This window comes from Homo sapiens, chromosome 15 (assembly GCF_000001405.40).
Source record: "Homo sapiens chromosome 15, GRCh38.p14 Primary Assembly".
NCBI classification, from domain to species: Eukaryota; Metazoa; Chordata; class Mammalia; order Primates; family Hominidae; genus Homo; species Homo sapiens.
Genome location: NC_000015.10, coordinates 22,606,787 through 22,620,150, shown reverse-complemented (window position 1 = coordinate 22,620,150; position 13,364 = coordinate 22,606,787). Strand labels below are relative to the sequence as shown.

Here is a 13,364-nt window from a genome sequence, read left to right as displayed (position 1 = left end):
ATATAATTTGTGAATTGCCTGATGAAATTTTCATAATTTTGAATTGTCTTTGCATTCCTATAATAAACACTGTTAGAATGGCTATGGTAATGTTTTATTTTTGCATTCTTCTGTATTAAATAAGATTATAGTTTTGTTTGTTTCCTTTAAGGCTGTTATTTCATTTCAGTATCAAGGGTATGCAGGGCTGAGTTGGGAAGCTTTACATCTTTTTTCTAAGATCTAGGATGTAGATCTGGTTTACACAGTAATTTTCAACTGCAGGAGTATTTTGCCTCCTATGGGACGTTTGGAAATATCTGGAGACATTTTTGTGGTCACAACTGGTCATGGTCGGGAGGTCTTATTGGCATTCTGTGGGTAGAGGGAATGTTACTAAATGCCCGACAACACACCAGGAGAACCCTCCACAAAGAATTATCTGGCCCAATATATCAATATTGCTGAGGCTGACAAATTCTGGTTTAAATAAATATCCAATTTGGAGGATGAGTCTTTGTCTTTTTCCTTCTTCTGCATATTGGTCTCCAGATTTCCCACTTCTTCAGTTAGTTTTCGTAACTGTAGGTTCTTAAAAAAAAATGAGCACTTTGGCCGGGTGCGACGGCTCATGCCTGTAATCCCAGCACTTTGGGAGGCCGAGGCGGGTGGATCACGAGGTCAGGAGATTGAGACCATCCTGGCTAACATGGTGAAACCCCGTCTCTACTAAGCCAAAATACAAAAAATTAGCCAGGCGTGGTGGCGGGCGCCTGTAGTCCCAGCTACTCAGGAGGTTGAGGCAGGAGAATGTTGTGAACCCGGGAGGTGGAGCTTGCAGTGAGCCAAGATCACGCCACTGCACTCCAGCGTGGGTGACAGAGCGAGACTCCGTCTCAAAAAAAAAAAAAAAAAAAAAATGAACATGTCATCCATACTTCTAAGGTGTTGTAAAGATGTGTAAAGTTTTCACTTTTTGCATCATATTCACATGTGGCTATATGCCCTTTTCTCTTCAAAGTTTTCTTTATCTTGATTACTTATCAGAGGTTTGACTGTTTTATTTTCCTCAGTCTTTTGAAAGAATCCTCCTTCAGTTTTATTTTTTAAATCTAGTGGTTTTTCTTTTTCCTTTTTCCTTATGTCTTAATTATTTCCCCCTTTTTGTTTGTTTTGCTTTTCCTAGTTTAGTGGATCAATGTAATTTAAATTGCTTTTTAAACAAACATGTAAGGGTATACATTTTCGTTGGGTGCTGTTTGACTTTGTTGCACAAGTTTTAAAATCTATTTTTTAATAGTTTGTATTTTCTAAATTATTTTATTGCATCTTTTGTTCACATTGCTCTTACTATTAATTTTTTATTTTTATTAATAAATAAATAAATTAATTAATTAATTGAGATGGAGTCTTGCTCTGTAGCCCAGGCTGGAGTGCAGCAGCATGATCTTGGCTCACTGCAAGCTCCACCTCGGGGGTTCATGTCATTCTCCTGCCTCAGCCTCCCAAGTAGCTGAGACTACAGCTGCCTGCCACCACATCCGGCCTTTTTTGTATTTTTAGTAGAGATGGGGTTTCACCGTGTTAGCCAGGATGGTCTCGATCTCCTGACGTCATGATCCACCCACCTTGGGCTCTCAAAGTCCTGGAATTACAGGCATGAGCCACTGCACCCGGCCCAAAAGCTTTGTGTTTTTACAGATATTAGACATGTTTCTTGTTTAAGAAAAAAAATCTTAACGAAAACGTAGGAGAATAAGAGAAACATTTTTCCAAAAAAGAGAAATCATTGTGATTATTTTATCTTATTAGAATGTTGGATAATATAGTCTGCTTCATTAATCATCAAGCATGCTATGCATTTTCCATTTTTATAGGATCTGTATCTCAGTTAAGATAATACTGGTAATTTTTATACTGTAATCAAAGATGAAAAATGTAGGCCAAAATCATAGACCTTGCATAGAAGCTGGATAATGAAGACAGCTATAGAGAAAAACACAGATACACACACACGGACACACATATATATATAAAGTATACACACATATATTTTTTAAAGTTTTAAAGCTGTTAAAGCAAAAGCTGGCCCCTCTTCTCTTCCAGAGTGGGAGGCCTCTCCCCTCTCTTAGAGTGGGTGCGGAGAGCGGTCGCATGGGCAGCTTTCCTTGTGAGCCACAGGGCCCTCTGGACACGCTGCTGTCTGGCCACGCCCCCTTTCCCTTTCATCTTTCTCATTGACCAATGGGCTTGGAGCATTAAGGCCACGCCCCTATTCCGCATTCTACTGGGGCCCTGGTTACGCCTCCTCTGGCTCAGTCACACAGCTGCCTGGAAGGTGACTGGAGGCCTTGATCGGTTCTCATTGCGATTTTGCTGCTGTGGCCCCAACCCTGCCTCCCTCCCCACCCTGCGATGGCAGAAGAAACTCAACACAACAAATTGGCTGCAGCCAAGAAAAAGGTAAAAACGCACTAGGTCATAGCCCCTCAACCCAGCCACAGATCCCCTCTGATGACAAGACCCCTGCCAGAGTCTATACGACTCCTGAGGCACACTGGACTGTTCCCCCCAACCCCGGTGCCTTGGGCTACCCCCATCAAAGTTTTGTCAGTCAGCCCCACCCCTTCAGAAAGCAGCCCAGTCCTTGCCCTCGCCAATCACCCCAGGGTGACTTTGGGTGGGTGACTCCTGGGACTTCCCGCTCCGTTACTGGGCCCTCATCTCCTGCCGCCCCAAGCTTGATCTCCCTGGGCTCTTTGGGCTCTCATCTCCAAGGAGCCAGGCCCCACCCTCGCCAATCATCCCTGGGTGACTTTGGGCTGGTGACTCCTGGGACTCCCTGCTGCAGACTCTGCCCTCCCCTCCTGCTGCCTCAAGGTCGACCTCCCTGGGTTCTTTGTGCTGGCGTCTCCAAGGAGCTGGGTCCCAACCCTGTGCTTCCCTCCCCCATCGTGGAGCGGCGACTTAGACATGGTGCTGACACGGTCCCTCCCCCTGACCAGGAGGATTGGAATGTTGTGATGTCACAGCCCACCTAGTAACTGCCGTTACTGCAAGACTGGCCTTTGATCTTATGACCCAGTCCCCTAAGCGTTCTCACCCCGTTTCTGGTTCCTCTGGTCACAGGACAAATTTCCAGCTGGAAGGGGAATGGAGACTATGGGACCTAGGAGCAAGAGGTTCCAGGCTGCCTCACTCCCTTACAGATGTTGACGGTGGGAAAAGCCTACACTTCCCCCATGAACTCAAAACATTGACAGTATCTCTGGGTGGCAATGAGAGAATGGGTTTGGTTTGGTTTTCTCCCAGGCTTCTACTTTCCAGAGAGATTTTAACATTTTTTTTCTGAGTTCTCCACCTCATATTCTAATTCTCCATGGTTCTGGGACCAGACTCTCCTTCAGTCAGTGGTCTCTGAAGTGACATTTGCTCATCTTCTGTGGAATAGATCTTGGGAAACTGAACTTGACACCTTGAATCTTCCTCATATTATCTCAACCTTGGGTACTTTGAGTGCCACAGGATAAATGTGGGACATCTTTCTGAAGCATCAGTTTCCCTTGATTCTCTTGAGATCAAGAGAAAAAACATGAATATACTTAGGGATGACAGTCACATAGGTTTCTAAGAGTATACCAGCCCTCTCTCTGAAATGAGGCTTGGGTTGTCCTCTTTCTGATGAATTCTGATTTAAGAGAAAGGCTGCCTTCTGCCGTGAGGACACATTGATATAAAAGTTTGAGAGGTACTGGTGCACTTCTTCACACTAACAGACGTGTGAGGATGTATGACTCTAAACCACATGGCATACAGTTCCTGCCTACTTAATGTTTACTTTTCTACCTCTGCCTCTGGTTTTGGTCCCTGGCAGCTGCTGATTCTTGGCAAAACCTCAGAGCTTGGAGTCAGAAGACTGAGTTTCAAAGTGCCAGTATTGCCTTTTTCTTTTTTTTTTTCTAGCCATGATATCAATCCTTCTCAGTCACTAAATGAGTGTGACAACACCTTGTACAGTTGTTGGTGTCATTAAATCAGATAGTGTGTAAGTGTATTTTGTAAAAACTGTAAAGGAGGATGTGGCTGTAGGGGCTGACGGTTCTCATGAGTATTACTGCTCTTCTTTCCAACAGTTAAAAGAATATTGGCAGAAAAACAGCCCTAGAGTTCCAGCAGGAGCGAACAGGAACAGGAAAACAAATGGCAGTATCCCTCAGACAGCCACTTCTGGTGGTTGCCAGCCACCTGGGGATGTGAGTCTTGGCTGACCAGGCTTCTGGGGACAGGGGGCCCAAGGGGCAATAGAGGGTAATTGTTAAGATTGTGGATGGACTGCTGGGTACGGGTTAAGAATTCTGGCTTTAGCCGGGTGTGGTGGCCCACGCCTGTAATCCTAGCACTTTGGGAGGCCAAGGCAGGCGGATCATGACGTCAGGAGATCGAGACCATCCTGGTTAACACGGTGAAACCCTGTCTCTACTAAAAATACAAAAACATTAGCCAAGCGTGGTGGCGTGTGCCTGTAGTCCCAGCTACTCAGAAGGCTGAGGCAAGAGAATGGTGTGAACCTGGGAGGTGGAGCTTGCAGTAGCCAAGATTATGCCACCGCACTCCAGCCTGGTGACAGAGCAAGACTCTGTCTCAAAGAAAAAAAAAAAAAAGGAATTCTGGGTTTGAATCCTGCCTCTCCATCTGCTCTGCTAGGGATATGATTTAGGGCAAGTTGCTAGACCTCATCGGGCCTCTCTTTTCACATCTGTATAATAGAGGTGTTATTGTTTCACTTCCATTTGTGAAATTTTCATGAGATTTGTTATTGTTGTTTTTATGTTAATCCCTAGTACATGGCCTGCTGTAAACACTCAGGACACCCAGGATATGGTCTTTGCTGTTTGATTTTCCTCATCCCCAGTCTCAAGGGGAAGCCAGGACAATGAGAACAGCCACTTGCCATCAGGAGTCACTGAAAGGGCCCCAGGATGGGATGGTGGGGAGATAAGAACCATGAGAGAAGTTGGCACAAAGGAGTTATGGGACAAAGGGTCCAAGATAGGCAGAAAAGAAAATGTTGCCAGTTGATGGGGAAGAAAGGAAGTCAGAGGGCTCAGACACTGTGGGGGACAGAACATCTCCATGTGCACTCTCATCTCTTGTAGTCAGCAACAGGTTTTCACAGGGAAGGCCCTACATCATCTGCTACCCTGAAAGATCTGGAGGTAAGAGGCTCTGGGCAGAGGTGCAGTGACCCTTCGGGTCAGCCCTCCAACCTCCTCCTCCAGGAGGGACTGGGTGCCCCTCTGCCAGCTGAGACAGCCCACACACCCCAGCCCTAATGATTGTTCTCTCTACCTCTCCCCCGACTCCTGCTCCACCTCCTCCTCTCTGCATGAACCTCAGAGCCCGTGCCAAGAACGAGCAGTAGTCCTGGATTCAAGGTCCGTAGAAATCAGTCAACTGAAGAACACCATCAAATCTTTGGTAAGAGTCCGGTGGGGTCCCCTGATTCCACGCTGCCAATCCTGGGCTCCAGTTTCCCCTTGGGGCCCTGAAGAAAGGGGCTGGGGGTCCCTGGTGCCCGGGACAAATAGGGAGCTTGGGTGCCCAGGCCTCACCTGGAGGGACCCCAGAGCATGCAGCATGGCTCTTCTTTTGCTGCCCTCTTTGCCGACTCTCTCCTCTCCAGACACCCCTGCTCGAGTCCTTGCTACACACGCCCTGGGGTTGTTGCCTCTTGGGGAAGTGCTAGCCTGACTGGTTGTCAAGGGCCCCGTATTTCTGCCATGACTCAGTCCCTAATTTGCTCTTTGATTCTGGACAAGCCACCTCTCCTTTTTGGGCTCGTGTTTCCAGAGGAGGTAGTGAGTATCAAAGGTCTCTGTTAGCTCTCGAGTCTGAGATTTAAAGGCCCCCGAGAATGGAAACCTCAGGGCTAAGGGCTCCTGTCTGTCCTTTTCTATCCTATATCTGCTGTGAAGAACCGTACCTGGCCCATACGTGCTCAGTAGGTGTTTATTGAATGAACCCACTTTTCTAAATCACAAGCTGCCAGAAGGAGGGGCCTTTCTGAAACTCCATCTCTAGAGGTTTATGTTGCTGTCCTCTCAAGAGATTCCAGATTCAGACTTTGAGTTCTGTGGCTGTGGGCAAAAGCCCACAAAGACCCAAATCCTCTGTCCTTGGGAGCTTGAGGAGAGTTTACCAGTTCGTGTTCCCATTATGTCTGAGAACTTTGCCTTTAAAATCCATTCCTGGCCCCTGCCTACCGCTTCCTGGTCTGGGGAATAGAGTTGAGGGGGCCACCCTCCATCACCTTATTTGACTCTCCCCACAGAAACAACAGAAGAAACAAGTGGAACATCAGCTGGAAGAAGTAACGTGATTTCGTTTCCTTGCAACATGACTGCTGGAAGAAGGCTCACCCTTCAGATTCCACCCCATCCCCTCAGGGCCCCGATAACCTGGTCCCATGGGTGGGCCTGTCCTGGGGCATTGGTGGCATTCTGGGGGCATGTCTCTTGCTGTGCCATCTCTGCCTCCCCCTGGTAAGAGCTCTGTCTTCCTCTTCCTACAGGAAAAGAAAGCAAACATCAAGAAACAGAAAGCCAAAAGGGTGCTAGAGGTGAGTGGAGGGTGTGCAGTTTCCTCCTGTCCTCCGGAGAAGGTTTCTTTCCTTCTCTTTCAGCACTTGCTTGGCTTTTCTCCCAAAGGTTCAAATCCAGACATTGAACATACAGAAAGAGGAACTAAATACGGACCTGTACCACATGAAACGTTCTCTCAGATACTTTGAAGGTGGGAATCTGGGCACCCTGTCATCCTTCAACCTGGCACTTTGACAGGTCTTCAGGGGGAGTCCTTTGGGCCCCATCTCAACTCTCTCATTACAGAAAAGTCCAAGGATCTGGCTGTCCGCCTGCAACATTCATTGCAGCGTAAAGGAGAGTTAGAGAGTGTTCTCTCTGATGTCATGGCCACACAGAAGAAGAAGGCAAACCAGGTGAGTCCAACCACCTGCCCCATCCCCTGGGAGTCTGCCTTTGCAGATGGAGGAGTGAGCCTAAAGGTCCCTTCTGCAGGATGGCGTGTCCTGCCCAGAAGGCAGCATGGCCATTTCTTGCTACTTTTTTGTATGGTTTTTAGTGGCAGCCTGGGGCTGAGTCAGCTGCTGTGGGTGAGTTGGGGGTCACTGTGTGGAGTGAGCACTGGACGCAGAGCTTGGAGGCCAAGTGCCTGCCCCGCCCTTACCTGGCTGTGGTCTTGGGCAAGTCCTAGGTGGGGTATTGGGTACTTGTACTGTGAAGGTACAGAAGAGTACCTTTAGTATGTTACCATTTCTGTAGAAAGAGGAAACGTGTGCATGTGTGTGTGTGTGTGTGTGTGTGTGTGTACATACTATGATAATATACATAAAACATGTCTGCAAGGGTTCATAAAAAATTCAGGAGAGAGCAACAAGATGGCCGGGAGATACTTCCCTTCTGTACCTTCTGAGTTTTGGACTATGCAAATGTATCATCCTTTCAAAAAGTGAACAAAAGATTAATTTTCCCCTTCCTATCTGTGGTTGTGAGGATTAAATGGGATTGCTAGCATGGTATCTGGTGAAGCACTCCATAAAAGTTCAAACAGTGGTAATAATAACGGTAATAACAATAGCAATATTATCTGATCTCTCTGGGCCTCTGTTAGCCAGCTATAAATTCAATCTCATTCCCTGTCCGTTCCAACTTTACTGTGTTCTTTTAAAAACCAGACCATGGGCTTGGAAATGCCATGATCTTTACTGACCGAGTTGTATATTGGGCCTAGCCCTAGCCCTGTTAAGGGGCACTGTGTGGAAATGCCCAGGCTCTCCAGATTGAAACTTCTCACTCTTTGCCATCCAGTTGTCCAGCCCCAGTAAAGCAGGTACGGAGTGGAAGTTAGAGCAGTCCATGCGGGAGGAGGCACTACTGAAAGTGCAGCTGACACAGGTGAGGTTTTCTGAGGGAGTTATGTGGAAGGAAGATGACCCCAGGTGGCCAGGAGCAGGTGAGGACCAGTGACAGCCCTTCCTAACTTCTGTGCCCATTCTTGCAGTTGAAGGAGTCATTTCAACAACTCCAATTAGAAAGACATGAATATGCTGAACATCTAAAAGGAGAGAGGGCCCGGTGGCAGCAGAGGATGAGAAAAATGTCGCAGGAGGTGAGATCTGACCCTTCAGCCCCCCCACATTAGATAGGTCACTGGATCTTTCTGGTCATCTGTAAAATGGGAATAGTACAGCCAGAGGTGGTCATGGGTCTGGGCTTTGTGGAGGTGGGGGCAGAGAGGGAGAGGGCAGCCTGTCCAGCCTCCAGCCCCTCTCTCCAGGGCCCTTTCCCCTTGTGCTTTGGGCAGATTTGCACATTAAAGAAAGAGAAGCAGCAAGATATGCGTCGGGTAGAGAAGCTGGAGAGGAGCTTGTCCAAACTCAAAAACCAGATGGGTAAGATGGGGCTGGCATGACCTGGGAGCAGGACTGGCATCAGAGGGCTGTGAGGGTGGCTTAGAGTGCCCCAGGGAGGTGGGTGGATGGAAGGGCTTTGAGGCAGAGGGAAAGAGGTCTGTGCCAGGAGACGGCAAGTCTTGTCATCTCAATGAGCCTCAGTGTCCCCATCAGCAAAGAGGGCCCGTTGTCAGCCACCCGCAGTGCTCTTTCTCTGAAAGTGCTCTGGAAGACTGGCTACCATCTGGGTGTGAGGAATCATTAGCAGTGAGGCCAAGTTTGAGGAGCCTGAGAGGAGCTGTGGACCAAGAGGAGGTTTTTTCTTTTCCGAGAATCCAGAGGCCCTTATTATCTGCTTCCTTTCTCAGCTGAACCCTTGCCCCCGGAGCCCCCAGCAGTGCCCTCTGAGGTGGAGCTGCAGCACCTGAGGAAGGAACTAGAGAGAGTGGCAGGAGCGCTCCAGGCCCAGGTCAAAAACAATCAGCGCATAAGTCTCCTGAACCGGGGACAAGAAGAGAGGATTCGGGAGCAGGAAGAGAGGCTTCGGAAGCAGGAAGAGAGGATTCAGGAGCAGCACAAGAGCCTTCAGCAGCTGGCCAAGCCACAGAGCGTCTTCGAGGAGCCAGTGCGTTGCCCCAGCTGGGGAGCCTGCCCTCCTCCCTAGCCCTCCGGGCCTTTGTTTCCCCACCTCTAAAATGGGGCAGTGTAGCCCTCACATGAAATGTTACTTCTAAAGGCACCTGTGAGCCAGGTGGCTGTGGGAGAGAGGGGGTGATTTTTCTAACCTGTCTCCAGCCTTCCCAGTGCCATGGGAGGCAGACACCAAGTTCTGGGGTCTCCAGCTGCAGTGGGTGGCTGCTGATTGCTTCTCTCTGTCCAGAACAATGAGAACAAGAGCGCACTGCAGTTGGAGCAGCAAGTAAAGGAGCTACAGGAGAAGCTTGGTGAGGTGAAGGAGTCGGAAACCTCCACCCCATCCAAGAAGGGCTGGGAGGCGGGCAGCAGCCTCTGGGGAGGGGAGGTACCAGGCCAGAGGCAGCTTCCAGCCTGGGGGCTGGTGACCACAGCACCCCCCAGGGCAGTCCTGTTTCTTGCTTCCTGCCTCTGACTTTTAAAGGTGGGTAGCCCTGGGCTCCTCTCAGGTCTGGACATCATCATCCTAGCTAGAGGCATGGAGCCCCCAATCACAGGGGAAGAGACAGTGGTATAACAGGCTCCTTATGCCAGGTGCAGTGGCTCATGCCTATAATCCCAGCACTTTGGGAGGCTGAGGCAGGAGAATCACTTGAGGTCGGGAGTTTGAGATCAGCCTGGCCAATGTGGTAAAACCTCATCTCTACTAAAATTACAAAAAAAAAAAAAAAAAAAAATTAGCAGGACATTGTGGCACATGACTGTAATTCCACCTACTCGGGAGGCTGAGGCACGAGAATTGCTTCAACCCAGGAGGTGGAGGTTGCAGTGAGCTGAGATTGCACCACTGCACTCCAGCCTGGGCCACAGAGTGACACTCTTGTCTGAAAACAAAACAAAAAGACTCCTTAGATTAAAACTGGATTCCAGCCTCGGTTCCACTGGTCACCATTCAAGTACTTTGCATCTCTAAGTCTCTGTTTCTTTAACTTCAAAGGGAAGTTAGCATTTTCCTTACAGAGGTGCTGAGGATTAAATGAGAAGAGGGTATGAGATTTGAGGCTGGGGAAGGAGGCATGGGGTTCTAGGAAAGGGAGGCAGTCACTTAGGCCTGGAGTAAGGGGACAGGGGCCTGGGCAGCTGACAGAGCCCCACAGTGCCCTCGCTACCCTATTAATGGGCCCAGAATCTGGAAACCAGCCACCACGTGCCCTCACACCCAGGGTCTTCCTGCAGGTGGAGCTGAAGAGCCAAGAGGCTCAGAGTCTGCAGCAGCAGCCAGACCATTACCTGGGTCACCTGCAGCAGTACGTGGCCACCTATCAGCAGCAGGTGGCCGCCTATCAGCAGCTGACCTGTGAGAAGGAGGCGCTGTACAGGCAGTGACTGCAGCAGACCCAGCTAATGAACCAGCTGCAGCAGCAGGAAGCTTGGGGCAAAGCAGTGGCTGACATGGCCTGCCAAAAGTTGCAGGAGACCCAGGGGAGGGAGCTGCGGAGGATGGGGCCGTGAGGGGGACGACCTGGCAAACTCCATCCCTTCTCACTCTTTCCTGGCCCCTTAGGAGCACCTGGAAGCTGCCAGCCAGCAGAACCAGCAGCTAACAGCCCAGCTGAGCCTCATGGCTCTCCCTGGGGAAGGTACGGGAGACCGCTCAGAGGAAGAGGAGAGAGCCCCAGGAGGAAGGGGGGACTGCTAGCAGCATAGGATTGAGGAGTTGGAAGAGACCTTTAGAACAGCTGGTCATTATGCCGACCGGGTGCCTGCACTAAGTTGGGCATCAGTGTGGTGACCTCCTGTGAGCGGGGGGTCACCAAGTTGCCTAAGGATGGCTGAACTGGCCAAGGTCAGAAAGGGAGCAGGTCAGAACTCCCACATCGACCAGTAGTGGGAATGTGCCTGGGCGGAATAGCAAGATCTTGATTCTTAAAAGTAAAAATAAAGAACAACAGCTCATTCCTCTCTGGGGAGGGGCTGGCTCAGGATTACACAGTGAGGGTGGAGGTAGAGGTGGGCCCACAGTACCTCCCTTGTTGGGTTGTCTGAAGACCCCTCTGGCCACCCCCCACAGGACACGGAGGAGAACATCTGGACAGTGAGGGGGAGGAGGCACCTCAGCCCATGCCGAGTGTCCCAGAGGACCTGGAGAGCAGGGAGGCCATGGTGAGCCTGACTCCCCCTGCACCCATTTTGCCACCTTTCTCTGTGGTCCCTCCAAGACCCCTTTATGCTCTTCGTTTCCCTGCCTTCTGATTTCTCTGGACCCTCACCCCTTCCGAGAGCCAGTGGTCAGACACCATTTCACCTGTGGCCAACAGGTGCACTCTCTGAGGCCCCAAGGGAAGGGGCTGCGCTCCACCTCTCTGCCCCATTTCTTCTGTGTATGCCCCTAGAAGAATGCTCACATCTTGCCCTCAGGTGGCATTTTTCAAGTCCGCTGGAGCTAGTGCCCAGGAGAAGCAGGCACAGTTACAAGAGCAGGTGAAAGAGCAGAGGGTATGCTGCCAGCGCCTGGCTCACCCGGTGGCCTCGGCCCAGAAGGAGCCAGAGGCAGCCAGAGGCCCTGGAGCCCCAGGGCCTGGGGGCGAGTCTGTGAGTGGGGAGACCCACTGGGCCCTGCAGGAAGTCACGGAGAAGCTGGCCCATGGCAGGACTCACCTCCACCTTCTCCATGACTTGAAAATGCCACCTGAGGGCAGGTCGCTGCCGAGATGTGACTGCAATATTTTGGCTCCAGAGCAGCTTTATGGACCACCTGGAGGAGAAGGCAGACCTGAGTGAGCTGGTGAAGAAAAAAGAACTCTGCTTCATCCACCACTGGCGAGAGAGATGCCATCAGTGAGTGGGAGGCCAGGGCACGGCAGGGGGAGCTACAGGGCCGTTGGAGGGGCCCCAGCGTATGAGCCCTGTCCTCCCGCAGGAAAACCCATCACCTTTTATCAGAACCAGGGGGCCGTGCCAAAGATGCAGCACTGGGAGGAGGACACCATCAGGCTGGAGCTCAGGGAGGAGATGAAGGTAGGGTGTGCAACATCTCTGTGGGGGTGGGGGTGGGGGTGGGTGTGAGGGTGGGCGCAGGCAGCGGCATGGCAGCTGAGCACCCCTCCCTCCAGGTGAAGCTGCTGGAGCTGCAGCAGATGGTATTGCGGCTTACAGCAACTACAACAATGGGCACAGAAAATTCCTGGCCGCTGCCCACAACCCTGCTGATGAGCCCGGTCCAGGAGCCCCAGCCCCCCAGGAGCTTGGGGCTGCAGACAAGCATGGTGGTGAGTAGAGCCCTCAGGTGGGGTGGGCAGGCAGGAAGAGGGGGCTCCCACTGTGCTCAGATCCCTGCCTCCCTCTCTCCAAAGATCTTTGTGAGGTGAGCCTCACCTCCTCTGCCCAAGGAGAGGCCAGGGAGGATCCTCTCCTTGACAAGCCTACTGCACAGCCGATCGTGCAGGACCACCAGGAGCACCCAGGCTTGGGCAGCAACTGCTGTGTGCCATTCTTTTGCTGGGCTTGGCTGCCAAGAAGAAGGAGATAAACATCACCATCATCAAACAGCTGCTCAAGAAATTTTTAAATAAGAAACCAAGTTATGGGGTTAATCTCCTACACAATTCATTTACTTCCTTTGAATGTTAGAGTCACTCATGATTATTTGTGTTTCTAATTTATAGTTTAAGTTTATTTATAAAAAGTTAAAAGAGAGTGGGTGTCTGTGGCTCTCACTGATGTTCACTCTGGCATCCTTTTAGCATTTTTCTTTTTTAATTTCATAATTGTAGGTCATTAGCATGCATATCGAGTTTGCCCTTACGTGGTGGGAGTTCAAACACACAAAGACCCACTCTTTGCCCAAAACTGTTCTCGCTGGTTTGGAATAGGCTGCCATGCTTTTTTAATGTTATTGCAGCATGTATATTCACTACAGAATTCAGACAAAATTTGCCTATGTTCTGCTGTTGTTTGATCTAATCTTAATCACAGTGAGCTCTTCGTTAGCTCAATATGTAGTTTGCCCCCAAGTGTGCACTGTTTATTACTTTGTAATATGCCACTATGAGTACTGACATTTAGAGTTGTTTAAAGGCCAAGAACTGGAAACAGCCTTTCCTCCATTTTCTGTGTATTGGTGATGGGAGTGATAACCTTTTGGGGGAGCTTTTTAAATCTCACAGAAGAGGAAAGTGGCCTCCTCTGGCAGGTATGTGCAGGATAGAGTGTGTTTCATCTGTTCCGGTGCCAGGAATTAGCAGTGTATTATGATGGTTCCCTTAGGATTTCTATGTGCTCT

The 13,364-nt window shown here is 50.0% G+C and overlaps 1 long non-coding RNA gene and 2 pseudogenes across 2 annotated transcripts, besides 1 other annotated feature; 2 read left to right on the top strand and 1 right to left on the bottom strand.

Annotated features, from left to right (window-relative positions):
• The first annotated feature begins 2,296 nt into the window (after window positions 1–2,296).
• On the top strand, window positions 2,297–9,798 carry GOLGA8IP (golgin A8 family member I, pseudogene; annotated as a pseudogene). Its single transcript, NR_024074.2, has 12 exons — window positions 2,297–2,442; window positions 4,113–4,232; window positions 5,136–5,195; window positions 5,377–5,457; window positions 6,311–6,598; window positions 6,687–6,771; window positions 6,867–6,976; window positions 7,866–7,952; window positions 8,059–8,166; window positions 8,362–8,449; window positions 8,818–9,074; window positions 9,330–9,798. The product of NR_024074.2 is annotated as a golgin A8 family member I, pseudogene (transcript).
• LOC101927846 (uncharacterized) lies at window positions 9,083–12,546 on the bottom strand. The gene is made up of 3 exons (XR_001751437.2): window positions 12,458–12,546; window positions 11,741–11,837; window positions 9,083–9,321 (listed from the first exon to the last, which is right to left on the bottom strand). It is a non-coding gene; the product is annotated as an uncharacterized LOC101927846 (long non-coding RNA).
• Window positions 10,556–11,056: an enhancer, noted in NCBI's record as "H3K4me1 hESC enhancer chr15:23263501-23264001 (GRCh37/hg19 assembly coordinates)". NCBI's record gives its function as "activates a minimal SCP1, AML or CMV promoter by ChIP-STARR-seq in primed H9 embryonic stem cells {active_cell/tissue: H9 hESC(primed)}" and the evidence as "EXISTENCE:reporter gene assay evidence [ECO:0000049][PMID:30033119]".
• RN7SL495P (RNA, 7SL, cytoplasmic 495, pseudogene) lies at window positions 10,774–11,010 on the top strand (annotated as a pseudogene).
• Window positions 12,547–13,364: the final 818 nt, after the last annotated feature.